At 44.4% G+C, this 18,408-nt stretch overlaps 1 protein-coding gene and 1 pseudogene across 1 annotated transcript in view, besides 2 other annotated features; one reads left to right on the plus strand and one right to left on the minus strand.

The window, feature by feature from the left end:
• Positions 1-7,084, minus strand: part of SHC4 (SHC adaptor protein 4) — a 140,179-nt gene extending 133,095 nt beyond the window's left edge. The window contains exon 1 of the mRNA NM_203349.4: positions 5,596-7,084. Within this exon, the coding sequence (NP_976224.3) occupies positions 5,596-6,180 (585 nt within the window). The 5' untranslated portion in view covers positions 6,181-7,084. The remainder of the gene's footprint in view (positions 1-5,595) is intronic.
• Positions 5,558-6,060: an enhancer, noted in NCBI's record as "H3K4me1 hESC enhancer chr15:49254590-49255092 (GRCh37/hg19 assembly coordinates)". NCBI's record gives its function as "activates a minimal SCP1, AML or CMV promoter by ChIP-STARR-seq in naive H9 embryonic stem cells {active_cell/tissue: H9 hESC(naive)}" and the evidence as "EXISTENCE:reporter gene assay evidence [ECO:0000049][PMID:30033119]".
• Positions 6,061-6,562: an enhancer, noted in NCBI's record as "H3K4me1 hESC enhancer chr15:49255093-49255594 (GRCh37/hg19 assembly coordinates)". NCBI's record gives its function as "activates a minimal SCP1, AML or CMV promoter by ChIP-STARR-seq in naive H9 embryonic stem cells {active_cell/tissue: H9 hESC(naive)}" and the evidence as "EXISTENCE:reporter gene assay evidence [ECO:0000049][PMID:30033119]".
• On the plus strand, positions 14,890-16,729 carry KRT8P24 (keratin 8 pseudogene 24; annotated as a pseudogene).
• Positions 16,730-18,408: the final 1,679 nt, after the last annotated feature.

Raw genomic sequence — 18,408 nt, forward strand, 5'->3', positions numbered from 1 at the left:
CTTTCTAACCAAAAGAGATCCTAATAATAAGGGGTTTCAAACAGGTAGGAAAGAAGACCTGGAGTCTCAGGATTTTAAGCAGCATTTTGTTCAAACTTCTTCTTCTTTTTTTCTTTTTCTTTCTTTCTTTCTTTCTTTCTTTTTTTTTTTTTTTTTTTTTGAGACAGAGTCTTGCTCTGTCGCCCAGGCTGCAGTGTAGTGGCATGATCTCAGCTCACTACAATCTCCACTTCCCAGGTTCAAGCAATCCTCCCACCTCAGCCTCCCAAGTAGCTGGGAGTACAGGTGCATGCAAACATGCCCGGCTAATTTGTGTATTTCTAGTAGAGATGAGGTTTCACCATGTTGGCCTGGCTGGTCTCGAACTCCTGACCTCAAGTGATATGCGTGCCTCAGCCTCCCTAAGTGCTGGGGTTACAGGCATGAGCCACTGTGCCTGGCTGAAACTTCTTTTAAATATGAGAAAATGAGGCCCACAGAGGTGAAGTGACCCACCCAAGATCACACAGCTTAGTGTCAGAGCCGTTACTTCAATGCACGTCTCCAAACTCCTAGACCTGTATTCTCCTATGGAAAAGCTACTTGAGGTAGATGTAACATTGTGGTACTGTGGACTACATCTAGTCTAGACAACAGATGATTGACAATACTAGTTTACTGGGTCAGTGATAAGATACCTTAGACAGGAGAAGACGGATGGTAAGAGTATACTGTGGGATTTATAAAGGAAGTAAAGAAAATCTTTCAACACAAATTTCTATTTGCACACAAAGCTGATGAGCTTGATACCCAAGAAGGCCCATGTGAGCAAACACATTGCAATAAATGCTCTTGGGGACTGTTTTGGGTTGAATTATGTCCACCAAAAAAGATATGCCCAAGTCTTAACCCTCAGAACCTGTGAGTGTGACCTTCTTTGGAAATAGGGTCTTTGCAAATGTCATCAAATAAAGATGAGATTATATTAGATGAGAGTGAGCCCTAATCCAATGACTGATGTTCTTATAAAAAAGAGGGAAATTTGGCCATGGACACACAGAGAGAATGCATGTGAAGACAGAGGCAGAGATTGGAGTGATGCATCTACAAGCCAAGGAGCACCAAGAATTGCAGGCAACTGCCAAAAGCTAGAAGAGACAAGGAAGAGCTCTAAGATTCCTCCCCTAGAGCTTTTAGAGACAGCGTGACTTGGCTGATATCTTGATTTCAGACGTCCAGCCTCAAGAACTGTGAGAGAATCGATTTCTATAGTAGTAAGCCACGCAGTTTGTGGGACTTGTTACAGAAGCCCTAGGAAACTAATGCGATCTGGGAAACAGTTGGCTGGGCTGGGCTGAAGTGAAGAGACTGAAATCATGCAAATGCATATCACAAGGCAAGTTCCATGGGCTGGTCCTATGATGAGGCTATCCTGCACAGTGTGGCCTCTCATCTACGCTACTCCATTCCCATACTTCAGAGGCTGCCTGTCTTGCTTGGAGGCAAGTGAGAGGTTGGGAAGTGGAGGAACATTGGAGTGAGACACACCTGGTTAGGAATCCTCAGTCTGCTACTTACTAGTTGTGAAGTATCCTGTGGATCACAGACACCTGGGCTCTCAGTGTCCTCACCTGGAGAACACGGCCTTCCTCAGGGGGTTGTGGTGAGGGCCACTGCAGTTACCTGCCAAAGCTCGTCAAGGTTGGTTTCTTTGCCTCTGCTTTATTAAGTCTTTGAGCCAAGTTGAGAATTGGAAAGGAAACTAACATTTTCAACACCTCCCGTGTGAGAAAGGAACCCTACATTCATTAAATACTGGTGCTGCGAGGGGGCTTTCAAGCCAATTCTCTCATTTTAAAGAGGAGAACACTGTCACGTTGTAGATTTTCCACATTCCCCACTATGTTGGGCACCTGGGAGACCTTTAAATGAATGTCTGCTGATGGATGAATGGACTTGGAAAGGCCTCTAAAGAAAGGAGACTCAGTCTTATGGGGAGAATGAAGTCACATTTGACACCATTTAATGGGCTTTGCCCACCTCACTACTTTGCCCAGACTGGGATCTCACTGTCCTATTTCTGGCTCAATATCTTTCAAAGAATGGTTTGCTAGGCCCCCTTCCCTGAGAGACCTTCAGGTGGTCCAAAGTCTGAGCTTCAATTAAAGTTACTCAAAACAGGTGGTCAGGATTCATAAAGTGTTTTCAGCTATATAATTTATTCTACATCATAAGACCAAATGAAGAACCATTTTTTAAAAAGAATATTTAACCCAAAGTCAACTCTAGCTTAGCGCAGATGAAAAATATAGTCCCTATCATAAAGAGAAAATATGCAAGAAAACAAAGTAAAGAGTAGCTATAACAATCCCACTTTTTACCCAAGAGTAATATGCCTTCCATTCCCACCCAAGCTACTGCCTTTTTCACTTACCCCACTTTATTGCTCTCCATAGCACTTAATGCCATCTGAAATAGTATATTTTTTCATTTATTCAATTGAACCTATCTCCGCTCACTAAAATATTTCACAATGATTCAGACCTGGTCTCTTTTGTTTACTGATGCTTAGAACTGATTCATTTTGTTCATGGATGCCCAGTGCCTAGAACAGTTCCTGCTGCATAATTGATTCATAATACATATTTGTTAAATAAATGGATGAATGGATTAGCAAATAAGTTGGGGCAGGGAGAGGAGCAGTCACATGATATGGATAAGAAGGTAGAATATGAAGTGGCTTTTTTCCTGTAAACTTTGCCCCTAAATCCACCAGCCCTGTGTCAACTAGCCATTAAGATCATCTTTCTCTCAGTTCTCTCCTATGAATCCATTATTACCAAGCAAGGTTTGATTTAAAATTTTTTATGTGCTTTTTCCTACAGATGGGAATACAGAGCTCACAACTTTGGTTCATTTGGTATGATATTTTTACTGTAAATTAATAGCTTAGCATTTCATTTTTCAAAATTGGTTCACATCTCAAAAGAATTCTGAGGAACAGAACAACAACCAGGATGGAAACCTGTGGTGAAGACAGATAAGAATGGCACACAGGAGATTTGGGCTCTAGATCTCACTCTGCTTTAACTCATCTGTGTGGCCTTTGAAAAACCTGGGGTTTGGTTTCACCATTAAGGAATTGACCTTGATAACTTCTGAGTCTTCCGTCTTTCAAAGTTAGGATTCTATAAAACTTAATAAGTAAGTTCTTTCACGTATTTTGACTTCATAAGAGATGTCATTAGCTTGTATCGGACATCACGGATATCGGCAATCTTGTGAGGTTCATTTGGGTCGTGGGGTCAGCACTTTTTCTGGAGTCAGTGATTATTGCCATGAAAAGACAGATGGTGCCCCCATTAAAAATCTAAAACGCCAGAGGAGGCACTCCCTAGGGAAACTGGAGATCACACAGCAACTCTTTTCACATTTAAAATTGTACAGGTGTGTGGGTATGGGGAGGTTGCAGGAGGTACAAGAGGAAAGGAAAGCTGAGGCAGAGGCTAGAGGATGTGTAGGTGATGGTAAGGCAAGTGCAGAGAGCCCAGGTTTGGAGACTCACTCGTTTTCCCATGAGGGCCTGGCACACACCTAATCTTGATAAATGAGAATATGCCCATGAACTTTGAGTAGAAACATGAAAATATTTCCATTATGTGCCATGTCACTGTGGGTGAGGGCGAGAGCTGCATGTCCCATACATTTATCTGCTTTAGAGGTTTTAGTTACCCATTTGCCAGGACTGCCCAAGCCTGCTCTCTCTGTAACCCTTCCAGTGTTTATTATTTGAACTTCCCTGAGATCCTAATTGTCTGTTTGTAATACTGAGATCCTAATTGTCTGTAATACAGTTCTTGGGCTAGCTCTCTATACCTTCAGATCAGACATCTCGCCTGAGTGCTAGTTTTATATGACTGTCTACCTACATATTAGCATTATTTACAAATAATTACATTAAATTTAATATGTCAAAAACAAACTTAAAATGAGTCCATTTCCTAATTTACTCTGCTTCAGTCATTGGCATCACTGATGTCATTCTGAGACTTCAATTTGAAAGTTTTTTTTTCACCCTTTACAACCCTCCATCAATAATCAATCACAACCCCAATAAACAACAATGGTAACAAAATAATCAATCTACCCACTGCTCCATAAATGTTCACTACTCTATTAGTTATATTATGATTTGAAATGATCTGCTTAATCTCCCAGGGTTGTTGAGGCTTCTCTCATTCTTCTGTCACAGAATGCCTTACCATTCACCTCCTTTCTCTCCTCTCCACCTTAATCAGTGTTCTCATTGCCTCATACCTAAACTCTCAGAGTATCTTTCTTACTGTCCTCCAAGTCTCTAATTTTTCCCTGCTTCAATCCATGTCAAATAAATCAACCAACTGGTCTTTTAAAAATTACTTTCAGCAAGTCATGCCCTACAAACCTAGGAGGATTCTCATTTATCAATCACAGTATTTACAATCTCCTCATTTGGCATTTAAGAGCTTCAGTCAACTTCGGTCTCCCAAGCTACCCGTGATCTCTATTTGTCTTTATTCAACTCATACTTGTTTGAGTACTACAAGCCACCCCCTCCCTCAGTCACCCACTATTCTCCAGCATTCCCCTTCCTCCTCCATAAGGCCCAGCCTGTGTGATGCTCCCCTGCAGCCACCACAGTGACTTTGCTCCTATTCTTGGCCTACCAGGAATCCCCTCCTTTCTGCCAACCCAGATCTGACATTTCTTCCAAGATTCATCTTCTCCTGAGGGTTCCCCATGTGAATGAATCCCAGATCACATAATCTTTCCTTTTTTCTGAATTCCCTCAGCATTCTCATATTAGCTATCTATTGCTAAGTATTATTATCTTAGTATTTCGCATGTATTCATTGATCTCATTGAAATCTGAGCTGCAAAAGGGCACAGGCCAAATCTTCATTTGCCCACATCTTGACTGAGCAAGGACAGATACAAGGCCAGTAAGGACCTTGATTTTGCCCATAGCTCATGGACAAGGCCTACTTGCTGCAGCGTAGGCAGTAAAGGCAATAAATGTGCACCGGAGAGCTAAGACTAGCTCCTGGCACAAGGTTAGAGACTCGGACGTGTTTTGAGAAGTGTTTGTTAAATGCTGAAATAAATTTTTAAAGAATAATTCAAGCCCCTTACACACCATGTGTTTCTACAGCACAGAAATCTTTACTGTATTCATCCAAAATACAATGGCCAGTATAACCTACCAGGTCTCAATCACTGATCAGATTTGAAGTCCTTGACTCTTTTTGGCCAGAATACTAGGTCCAGCGGGGACAAAGTGGTGCCATCAGCTGCCTCTATCAGAACTTGCCTCTACACCTGCCAAGTACCCACAAGTTCATGTCCTACAAGTTAGCACCGGTTCATGTCCTTGAACCAAAGGCTGCCTGACTCCAGTACAAGTCAGATAGTTGTAGGGACATATATAAACCCAGCTCCCCTCCGCCTTGGTCCAGTTGAATCATGTCCTGTCCAAACACAGAACCCAGGCAGGTAACATTAGACCCCTTGCAGAAAGCAGAGAAGATGCCCCCTTCCACGGAAGTTCTTAGAGGGCAGAGAGGAAAATGGACTTACCCTCACACAGTAGTTCATGCCCATCCCCAACAGGTGCTGTAGAAAGTGCCTGTCCTGCCTGCTCCTAAGTGTTGGCTCCCCAGGGCCAGGAAGCGGGCACGAATCAGGGGTTAGGGCGGTTGCCCTGTGTCCCACCAGGTCCTGCTGCGGTGGAGGTGCAGTCCCGGACCTACTTAAACTGGTTTCTGGGGAAGAGGGGCCGCTGGAACCTGGGTCCCGGCTTTCCTGGAGCTTCAGCCGAGGCACCTCTTTGGTACCCAGGCAAAAGTTTTTCAGACTCAGCAAAGTGGCCGGGTTGGCCAGCTTCATGCTTGCCATGCGGGGGATCAAGGTGCACAGTGGGGTGGGGCTCTCCTGCGACGGCAAGGTGGCATCTTCAGTCGGCAGGTGAGGTGCCAGGGCGGGGTGGGGAGGCTGCGGCGAGCCCTTGTTCCCGACCGAGCCTCCGGAGCTACCTTCGTCCAAGGACGTGATCGACTCGTTCCGAAAGCGGCTGTACTTGGCCCTGTGCAGCATCCCGGGGTGCCCGAAGAGTCCTACATACAGCACGAGTCCTGCCAGGCTGTCCTGGCCGCGTTCTCGCATAGCCTTGGCAGTGCTGAAACAGGATACTGTTGCATAAATCGCCTCGTCGTCTGGTAGATAAACGGTGCAGACATCAGATACCTCAACGCCCGATGCAACTCACAGCAGCCACCTCTCCAACTCTGCTCTCGAGCTCGCCCACCTCGGCTCCCGGCCCCTTAAGGGTGACAGCCCATGGGGGAAACGCCTCCCCTGCTCTGATTTCAGTCTCTCCCTGGCCCAGGCAGAGGCACCAGTGTTCTCGCCTTGGAATCCTTGTCGGGAGAGCCTAGACCCAGGCTCCCGGCGGCGCGGGTCGCTCACGGCCAACTCTTAGGCGCAGAACCCGGGCGAGCGCCGGTCGGGGGGCCCGCTGCATCACTAGCCTTGCAGGAGCCTAGTAGAAATATTTAGCACCCGACTCCCACCCTCACCCCAGCCTTCTGTTCTGCACACAGGAACTTTCGAACCTGCTCCCTTCGGCTCTCACAGGGCGGGGCAAATGACTGGCCTATTAACCCTTTATTTGTTCCAGTGATTGTTCATTTAAAAAGGAAAAAAAAATGTATCTATGAACCAAAGGCCCTTTTGCCTGGGTTCGTTGATTCCAAAGGCTGCCCTCTCTTGGAAGATCTTGTCTTGCATCCCGTTCTGGGCCACCAGCCAGGAGTACTACTGACGGGCGCTGCTCCGCATTGTTTCACTGACTTGTGATGGGTCCGTGTTCCTCAGATCCCCTCCCAGCCTGCCTACCCTCGCTCAGAGCTTCCCTCCCTCCTGGATTCCTCTCGGAGCTTTTTTCAGAAGCCCATTTGCAGCCGAAAGCTGAGATGTGCAGGATGATACGCAGCGTGTTGAAATTTTTATGAATGAACTTTGCCGAATGAATTTCTCTGTGTGTGTGCAAGCTAATAAATCTGTGAATGAAGCTGAGAATAGCTGTAATTGACTGACGGTCTCAGAGGTGCTTGGTTTTTATCCAATCAGGAGGCAGCTTGATGACTCATACACCATAAATATACTAAACTAGTAGCCGAGAGAAATAAAGCTAGCGGGAGAGGAGGGACGTATTTTATTTTGTGGTATCTGATGAATGAGTTAAAAGGAAAGGCAATCTTTACTACAGATCATTAGCCGGGGAGCAGCAGGTTAAAAGATCTATTTTCTTTCTTGTTGAGATGGCCGGGAGGGCAGAGCAGAAGAGCTAAAAATTAGACCCATTGTTACAGGGATATTAGGACATATGGTTCACAACTCCTGTGGGAAGCCATGATGCATTTTTCTTAGAAACATAGTTCTTTTTTTATTGATTGTTGGTTCCATCTTCCGTCTGGTGCGACTTCCTGTACCTATCAAATGCATCCTGAAGACATGATGACAACTGCAAAGGCTTAGCACACAGGAAGCCAAAACCAGAGCTGGGAAAAGGAAATGCAGGTTCTTCAGGAATGGAGAAGAGGAAACTGCTGAAACACTGGGGGTGTGGGGTGTCGGGGTGGGGTGGAAATCACACATAGGAAGAGATAAAGAACTCTCAGAAAAGATTGCATTACTCCGTGTCTCAAGGCTTTGACATCTGAAATTGTTCATTAATTAAAAAATTAAGACAAACTGGCAACCAAAGGAATTAAGGGTGCCACCTTCATTATCTTATTGTCCCTAATGCTGGATTAGGCTTATGTATATTCATGACTTTGGGAGCCTGAGCTCCCTTGGGATCCAAACACAGGTTCTGAATTAAATGGTTGAGAGTGACCAGTGAAAGCGGCATCCTCCTCCCAAGCTCCCTGGTCCCCCAGGGAAATAAAGCACCCATCACATCCTGTCTGCCAAGCCTGTTCAGACATTTCTTTCCCTGGAAAGGCCTTTCTGCATCTTCATAAATCTTCCCTTCAATCCTTGTTGACCTCCTTTTCCCTGCCCTACATCTCCTCCTGGCAAAACTGAGGGAAGTAGCTAAATCAGTTGGACCCCACATCCCTGGGGCTGAGGAGACAGGCTCTGGGCAAGAATATTTACCTCTCATTCCTCCTCATTCCTCATCTGCTTTCTTCCTCTCATTTTTCCTGCCTTCCCCTGGGTCCCTGGGTCCCTGTGTTGCTTCTGTTATGCTATGATGACCTCATTATATGCTCCCTTTAGAAAGTTACTTTACCTCTCCGTGCCTGAATGTCCTCATATGTTGGCAGCAGCCATCTAATGGGGTTGTTATGAGGGCTTACGAGGCCCAATGCTCCATACAGTGCCCATCTCACTAAGTACATGTGGGCAGTATGAAAAAATGGCCATTGGAACCAGAGCTACCTCCCCTTGAAGCTCATATTCTTAACCCTCACACTGCAGAGTTTACATCATTCTAGGCAACTAAAAAGAAAAATTAGTACAAAGTGGGAGAAGCTAAGAAACTCAACATTGTCCAAAGAAAACAATTTTTTAAATCAGGTGGGCCTGGAGAAGGCTGGAAAGGACATGGGCCTGCCTGGCTGATAGGAATCCTTACAGAGGTCTCATGACTGCAGGATGGGGTGTCCAGGGGAGCCAGCTCATCTAGGTAGGCACCATGCTGGCCAGACTCCAGGAGCCCAGACCAGCCTACATGCCTCAGAAAGTGCGAGTCCTGGGAGGGTTGGGGGTTGCGAAGTGGGACTAAGTAAGGTAAGAAAGCAGTCATGGCCATTGTGGGCTCCTTCTCTTCCCAAAGCCTAGAGACCTTGGCTGTCCTGGGTAGCTCTGCTACAGCGTTTTACGAGGGTGAAAGAGACCAGATCTGCAACTGGAAGTGGGGAATAGCCTCTAGGCTGAGCCTGCCCAGCTGGACCACTCTCTCAGTCCTAACAGCCCAAGAGAAGGCTCGTTGATTGAATTGCTTTTCATTCTAGGTAGATGGGTGGGTAAAGCAGATGGTTTGCTTTTTCCAGGGCATTAGAACATCCTCTTCAATTAGTCATGATTAAAATAATATTAATAAGAGCTACTATTTGTGGAACACCTGACAGTTTACCTACATTCTGGTTCAATTATTATAACAAATTGTGGATGCTTGGATTATGTTCCTCACTGCCTTACAGATATGAAAATGAGGCTGAGAGAAAGGGCAGTGACTTGTTCAAGGTGCTCCAGCTGTTGAGCAATGATCTTGGGATCCCTCTGGGCCTGATTGCAAAGCCTCTGCTGGCAGCCACTGTACTCTGCTGCCTCCCAGGGGACCAGAGAGCTCAAGTCTAGTTTCCAGGCCTATGATGGCTACAGGGCATCTTACTGCTTCCTAAAGCTCTGAGAAATGACTGGACAGGAAGATGAGCTGGGGATTTTTGGAGGTTCTAGGGTTGTTGGGAAGCCTACCCCTGAGCTGGCCCTCACAGATCAATGAGATCAGGGCTGGCAGAATATTTTCCTATCTATGGTTTTCCTGTATCTACCCCTCCAAAACCCCCAGGGAAAGTGTATTTAGCCCAAAGATCATTTATCAGAAGATAATACTAGACTAGATATCTCAGGAAACCTTTGTAACTGGGCCACTACCTACAAGCAGTATGCACTCAGCAGCAAAATGTAATTGGATGAACATTAATCTGGGAATTCCAGAACCAGCTGTGGGATTTTGAGTAAGTTATTTAACCTCTCTGAGACTTAGGTTTTGTATATGTAAAATGTGCACAATAATAATAACATCTGCTGAGCACTAACTCTAGATCAGGTCCTGAACTAAGTGTTTCACATTTAAGCCCCCCAGCAAGCCTATGCAGCAGGTGCTATCTGACATTTACTGACTTGCCCAAGTCACATAACCAGGAAGTGGTAGTTGTGGTGTAGAATCGAGCACTGACTCACTCCAAACTATGCCCTTAACCACTGTGATATGATCCAGTGTATATGAACCTAACTCCTACTGCATGCTCGATAAATGTTAGTTCTTGCTCCTTTCTCCTCCTTGGAAAGCATACCTATAAAATTCACCCTAAATACCTCACAAGTAACAACATGAATAATAGATAAGAAAAACCATTATTGTCATTAAATCATCTAAGAACCATGAATGCCTCATCATTGCCCTTGGAAAACAGAGTTCTGCTTAGACCCCAGCAGTATGCCTCCTTTACTCTGAGACATCCCCTCTCTAAAGGCACCTGCTAGGAAACAACATGTCAGCTTCTTAAGAGACATCCTATGCTGGCTGAGCTTCTTGAGTAGAACAGGCAGTTTCAAGGAAGACCTGGGTCAGGCTGGGTCATGCTACAATTAGCCAGGTCCAGGAGGAGGAGAGAAGAGAACCTGGCAAAAATGCCAGCCCAGTTTTGAAGATAATCCAATATGGAATTCGGGGTAGAGGAAGGTTGTGCTAGAGGATATGGGGAAGAGGAGAGAGAACAAGGCAGAAACATAATAACTCTGGGGGGCTGTAGGCCAATTGCTACTTTGGAACAAAGTGGAGCAGGTGGCATCTGAGTGTTATAGCACAAGGACTGTTACTTCATCCCTCCACTACAATTTCTACCATAAAGCAGGCCTACTAGCAAAGGATTTTCACTGAGCAATACCCACAATGAGTCTAACAGCCCATCAGCTGGGAATGAAAACATTGCTGAAGCTCTATTTTGGGGAAAAAATTCCACAAGAAAATATTTATATAAAGTTCTTGGTAGAGACCAAAATATCATTTTCAGGATGGGGAAATGAGATGGTGAAGAAGAATTGTATCTCTGAGAGTAAGGGCCTAGCCTCACAAAAATCATATCCCCCAAAGTTGTCATTAACTCTAGAAATAATCACCTTTTGCTTCCTGAACCCAATGTTTTCTGTTTTTTTCACAGTCTCCAGCCCTGTAGGTCAACAGTTTTCTGATGGCTGCTGTTGATCTCACACTCCTAGAACTAGGACCAGCTAAAAAAAAAATGAACAGGAAAACGGATATTTTCCTATCTGTTGAAAAGAAAATAATGTACCTGGGAAGGCTATGTAAAGAGTTAGCATGAAGATGAAAAGTAGATGAATTACTTAGGGTCATGTTCAGTTGAAAATAAGATAAAAATTAAAAATTATAATAGATTAAATAGAAAGTTTATTACTCTGGAGGTGGGAAATCCAGAGGCAGTGTCAGCTCTTGGCCATCCCTAAAGTATAGTCCTTCTCCTCATAGCCCAAAATAGCTGATGGAGCTCCAGATATTTCATCTGCACTCCAGGCAGCAAAACGGATGAAAGGACAAAGAACGATACGCCCTCTCTCTTTAAAGAAACATTCTGGATACCCCATACAATGTTTTAATTTATATCACATTAGCCAGAACTTAATCACATGCTGTACCTAGCTGTAAAAGAAGATAAAGTCTTCTTCATCTGAGAATGAAAAAGTCTTTTGTCTGGGTGCGTGGTTGCTGCACAGAAAGTCACAGTTCTGTTACTGGGGGGAAGAAGATAAAAACAGATATTATCTGCCATGGTAATATTTTTAGAAGACCTTCTACTTTATTAAATTTAAACCTAGCATAGGATTAAAATGTTCTTGGCCAATGTGGTCCAGTTGTCCCCTTTTTTGTACATGCAAACACACACACACACACACACACACACACACACACACACACAATGCTTATAAATGACCCATGTAAAAACAGGCCCTGTCAGAATAGAAGCTTACCTCTGCAGAGCCAGGGGACTGATGGAGTCTCTAGGCTCTGAAAGGTGGTCAGGTGCTTCCAGGGGCCAGCAGCTAGAAGCAACAGAAAGTGCATCCAGGCCATGTCAGATGGCAGGCCAAGTAGTTAATTGGGGCCAGGAAGATTTTATAAGGAGTAAGTGGGTGTTAAAGTGGTCCAAGTACAATCATCAGGTGGCTGATTCAGGAGCAGAATCTCCACTCTAATTGTGACTGGCAAGAGAAAAAGGCAAAGATAGAGTCCTGATAGGCTGAAACTCTGACACTATGAATTGGCTAATCCAATCCTCATTTCCAACTTTCTTTTCCTTTGCCCACCCCCACCAGGAAAAGCTAAATACTCTCCTTCTCAGGCTTCCCTGTAACTGCAGGGAATAGGGGCATTTGATACAGTTCTGATCTACGAGATGCAAGTTAAAATATGATGGGGACTTCTGGGAAAACATCTACTTCCTAATTAAAAGGGCAGATAAAACTGGAGCCCACTCTTTACCCCATGTCTTCTTGTCTTGAATGTGGATATGATAGCTAGAGTTATGGTAGCCATACTGCAACCATGAAGGAAAGACCAACCAAATTATGAAGCCAATGCTTTGACATCATTGAACCCCTGAACCAAGACCAGCAATCACCTCTAGATTTGTTATGTGACAAAAATTAACCTCAATAATTCAAGCAACTCAAGCAGCTCTTAGCTGTTATTTATGACTTACAGCCCAACACATTGCTACCTGACACAAATACAGTGGCAAGAACAGGATCATAAGAAGAGCAGGGCCTCTAGGTATGAGACAGAAGCACAGTTATGACAGGAGATTATAGAATCAGGTGGGAAAAGTCCAAAAGCAGTCAGATCAACCTGGTTTCAACTCTGGATGTTGACAGTATGGTAAGCAGACTAAGCACTCCCAAAGATGTCCATACCCTAATCCCGGGAACATGACAAAAGAAACTTTGCAGATGTGATTAAGATTACAGACCTTGAGATGGGGGAATTATCTGCGTGGGCCCAATCTAAACACACAAGTCCTTCAATGCAGAGAACATTTCCTTGTTGTGGTAAGAGCTAGGAAATTTGAGATATAAAAAAATGGAGGAAAAATTTGAAGCGTGAGAAGGATTCACCCTACTGTTACTGCCTTTGGAGATGGAGGAAGGCGCTATGAAGACAGGGTCCTCAGCTGACAGCCAACAAAGAAACAGGGATCTCAGACGTAGAGCTGTAAATCATTTAATTCTGCTTAAAGTCTGAATAAGCAAGAAACCAGATGCTTCTCTAAAGTCTCCAGAAAGAAATGTAGCCCTGCCAATACTTTGATTTAAGCAGGTGATCAGAGAGACCTGTGTCAAACGTCTACCCCAACCCTTACAGTAGCAAGATAATAAATGTGTGTTGTTTAAACTAAGGTGGTGGTAATTTATTATGGCAGCAATTGAAAACTAATACAGATTTTGGCACCACAAGTGAAGTACTACTATAACAAATATAAAATGTGAAGTGGTTTCAAAACTGGGCAACAGGCAGTGGCTGGAAAAATTTTGAGGAGCATGACCAGAAAAGGCTAAATTAAGATCAATATCACTGTAATAGCCAAACTGCCCAATGCAATCTATAGATTCAATGCTATTCCTATCAAACTACTAACATCATTTTTCCCAGAATTAGAAAAAACTATTCTAAAATTCATATGAAACCAAAAAGGAGCCCAAATAGCCAAGCAACCCTAAGCAAAAAGAACAAAGTTACCCAACTTCAAACTATACTATAAGACTACAGTAACCAAAACAGCATGGTACTGGTACAAAAACACACACATAGATCAATGGAACAGAATAGAGAATCCAGAAATAAAGCCACACACCTACAGCCATCTGATCTTTAACAAAGTTGACAAAAACAAGCAATGGGGAAAAGACTCCCTGTTCAATAAATGATGCTGGTATAGCTGGCCAGCCATAAGCAGAAGAAAGAAACTAGACCCCTACCTTTCACCACATACAAAAATTAACTCAAGATAGATTAAAGATTTACATTTAACACTTCAAACCATAAGCATCCTAGGAAACACCATTCTGGACATCAACCTTGGGAAAGAATTTATAACTGAGCCCTCAAAAACAATTGCAACAAAAAGAAAGATGAACAAGTGGGACCTAGTTAAAGAGCTTCTGCACAGCAAAACAAACTATCAACAGAGTAAACAGACAACCTACAGAATGGGAGAAGATATTTGAAAACTCTGCATCTGACAGAAGACTAATATGCAGAATCTATAACTTAAGCAATTGAACAAGCAAAAAAAAATCCATACAACTCTATTAAAAAGTGGGCAAAGATATTAACAGACATTTCTCAGAAGAAGACATACAAGCAGCCAAAAAACATGAAAGGATGCTCAATATCACTAATCATCAGAGAAATGCAAATCAAAACCACAATGAGATACCACTCATACCAGTCAGAATGGCTATTATTAAAAAGTCAAAAAACAGCAGATGTTGGCACGACTGCAGAGAAAAGGGAATGCTTATATACTGTTGGTGGGAATGTAAATTAGTTCAACCACTGTGGAAAGCAGTTTGGAGATTTCTCAAAGAACTTTAAACAGAACTACCATTTGATCCAGCAATCTCATTTACTGGGTATGTATCCAAAAGAAAATAAAACATTCTACCAAAAAGACACATGCACTCATGTCTTCATTGCAGCACTATTCACCATAGCAAACCTAGTTTTCTTTAACTAGGTCCCACTTGTCCATAGCAAAGACATTAAATCTACCTAGGTGCAGATCAATGGCAGATTAAAGAAAATGTCATACAAATACACCATGGAATATAATGCTGCCATCAAAAAAGACAAAATCATGTCCCTTGCGTTGACATAGGTGAAACTGGAGGTCATTTTCCTAAGTGAATTGACGCAGGAACAGAAAACCAAATACTGCATGTTCTCACTTATAAGTGGTAGCTAAACATTGGGTGCTCACGGACATAAATATGGCAAAAATAGATACTGGAGACCATTGGGGGAGAAGCCAGGAGTGAGGCAAGGGTTGAAAAACTAACTACGGGACCTAGAAGTAGCTTCTCCGTTCCTTCTCGAATCTCTGCCTGGTTCAGCCTGCCTGCCTCCACTCCTGCCTCCACCATGTCCATCAGGGTGACCCAGAAGTCCTACAAGGTGTTCAATTCTGGCCCCCGGGCCTCCTAATGGGATCATTAGTACCCCAAACCTTAGCATCATGCAATATACCCTTATAACAACCCTGCACATGTACCCCCTGAATATAAAAGTTAAAAAAAATTATTGACTAAGCTTGTTGAGCTTCTCCCCAGTGGGCAGCAGCAGCTTCCGAGATGTCCTGGGCACCAGCATGGGTCTGTGTGGAGGCTATGCGGGGCCAGCGTATGGGAGGCATCACAGCCGTCACAGTCAACCAGAACGTGCTGAGCCCCCTTAACCTGGAAGTGGACCCCAACATGCAGGGCATGCACACCCAGGAGAAAGAGCAGGTCAAGACCCTCAACAAGTCTGCCTCCTTCGTTGACAAGGTACTGTTCCTGGAACAGCAGAACAAGATGCTGGAGACCAACTGGAGCCTCCTGCAGCAGCAGAAGCCGGCTCAGAGCAACATGGACAACATGTTCGAGAGCTACATCAACAACCTTCTGGGGCAGCTAGAGATCCTGGGCCAGGAGAAGCTGAAACTGGAGGCAGAGCTTGGCAACATGCAGGGGCTCTGCATGTTTTTCGTGAAGGAGGACTTCAAGAAAAAGTACGAGGACGAGATCAATAAGCCTACAGAGATGGAGAATGAATTTGTCCTCATCAAGAAGGATGTGGATGACGCTTACATGAACAAGGTAGAGCTAGAGTTTCGCCTGGAGGGGCTGACTGACGAGATCAACTTCCTCAGGCAGCTGTATGAAGAGGAGATCCCAGAGCTGCAGTCCCAGATCTTGGACACATCTGTGGTGCTGTCCATGGACAACAGCCGCTCCCTGGACATGGACAGCATCATCGCGGAGGTCAAGGCGCAGTACTAGGAAATCGCCAACTGCAGCCGGCCCGAGGCTGAGATTATGTAGCAGATCAAGTATGAGGAGCTGCAGACACTGGCTGGGAAGCACTGGGATGACCGGCGTCTTACAAAGACGAAGATTTCTGAGATGAACCGGAACATCAGCCGGCTCCAGGCTGAGATTGAGGGCCTGCCTCAAAGGCCAGAGCAGAGAGCTTCCCTGGAGTCCGTCATCGCAGATGCTGAGCAGCGGGGGGAGCTGGCCATTAAGGACGCCAAGACTAAGCTGTCCGAGCTGGAGGCCGCCCAGCAGCGGGCCAAGCAGGACATGGCACATGGCACGGCAGCTGCCTGAGTACCAGGAGCTGATGAACGGCAAGCTGGTCCTGGACATCGAGATCGCCACCTACACGAAGCTGCTGGAGGGCTAGGAGAGCCGGCTGGAATCTGGGATGCAGAATATGAGTATCCACAGGAAGACCACCAGTGGCTATGCAGGTGCGCTGAGCTCGGCCTACCGGAGCGTCACAAGCCTTGACCTCAGCTAAGGCCTGGGACTCCAGCTTTGGCTCTGGCCGGGCCTCCAGCTCTTTCAGCCGCACCGGCTCCATCAGGGCCGTGGTTGCGAAGACGATCAAGACCCGCGATGGGAAGCTGGTGTCCGAGTCCTCTGATGTTCTGCCCAAGTGAATGGCCACGGCAGCCCCGCCCAACCTATCCCTCCTGCTGCTGCCTCAGGGCCTGAGAGGGAGGCCGCTGTGCAGGGGAGCACAGGGAACAGGAGGCCCACCTGAGGCTCAGCCCTGGCCCTCAGCCCACCTGCGGGGAAGTTTACTGCCTGGGGGACCTGCCTTGCCCATGCCTCCAATTACAAAACAATTCCATTTTTTTTCCCAAAATAAAACCTCAGCTAGCTCTGCAAAAATAAAAATAAAAATAAAAAAACTATGGGGTACTATGCTCAGTACCTAGGTGATGGGATCATTAGTACCCCAAACCTTAACATCATGCAATATACCCTTATAACAAGCCTGCACCTGTACCCCCGAATATAAAAGTTAAAAAAAATTATTGACTAAGCTTGTTAAACAATGCTTCAGTATTACACTGAAAGGACATGCTGTCTACCTTTTTGCCTTATTCTTTTTAGTGATGTTTAGAAACCTATCACTAAAGGACACCAAAATGAGGGAATTTCAGGCACCAGTCAATAGATGTATATGGATAGATACATACGAGTAGATATATTAGCATTCTAATATATAATTCTCCCCTAGAAACCACCTATATGAATGGCTTTGTTGATAAAGCAAATAATGAAATTAGAGAGGAACTTTCCTGAAAGGCTAATTCCATCCGACGAGCTCAGTTATTTTTCAATCAAAAATAAAATTTGACCAACTGGGTGTAGTCTGGTGATCCAAGTGTAGCCAAGACTTTCATTTGCTTTTCAGTTAGGTTTTCTCTGGGTAGAATCACACTGGCAAGGTGGTTAGACAGAGGCAATCTGCAATAAGAAAAAGCCACTGGGAGCAGACAGACTTGAATTTGATTCTAACCATTCCATCAGCTGATAGTCTCTAAACCTTGGCTTCCTCACCTGCAAGTGGGTAACTCTAAGTATCAAAAACAATGGAGCACTGTTCCCAAACCACTGATTATCTGTAAAAATGTTTTCTCCAGTTTATATAGAAATAGTAATAATCTTAAAATACATGGGGGAAAAGGAGGACCTTATAGTGAAGTTCTATTTAAACAGTGCTTTAAAAAAAAAAAATTTGAGATTGTCCTTCCTATTTTCTGTGTGTGGTAAAATGTCTTTTCCGTTAGGAAGTAATGGCAAACATGGATACTAGGCAGCTTTTTAAATGGCTCTACCTGGCAAAACATAAGTTAGCAGCCCTATTTCTATCTCCAAATGATTTTGGATATGCTCTGGGAATCACTGTAAGGGAGTCTGTGGATTTACTTTGTGAACTAAAAATACGTGTACAAAGTAAGCTATTATTACTGTAGTCTCCCAAAGTGCCGTTGCTTGTGTAGTGATGAAAATATCGTCCAGCTGGTCCTAAAGATGCCTAAAGAACGCACACTAAAAAAAAATGCTTTTTCCCAGGAGACTAACTGGGACAGGCCTCTCACAGAGAGACAGGTCAGGGTCTGCCTCTGGGTTAAGCCCCAGACTTCTTTTTAAGAAGAGGAATTTTATCTTACAAGACTTTTGCTTTTAGTGGGAAAAGTGAATAGCATGGTAGGATTCTCTATAGAGACTAAGGAACCTCTCTGGCTTGAGTAAGTGATGAGAGGGAGGAATGCAGTTTGCTGCAGGAAAGCAGGGATAAGAGAAGGGAGGATCTAGCGCAAATTTGAGAACCTGTATGGGGCTGGTGGAGCTGGAAATGGCCAGAAGGGGCAACACAGTAGTGTTTGTATGTGGGCTGGGAGAGCCCAGGACTTCTGTCATGATAAATAGTGCTGAAATAATCCCACGGAGCCTGGTCAGCTTCTTGAGCTGACCACATGTTTTAAACTTCTTTTTTTCATTTTGCATAGAAGTACTTCATTGATA

This window comes from Homo sapiens, chromosome 15 (assembly GCF_000001405.40).
Source record: "Homo sapiens chromosome 15, GRCh38.p14 Primary Assembly".
Lineage (NCBI taxonomy): Eukaryota > Metazoa > Chordata > Mammalia > Primates > Hominidae > Homo > Homo sapiens.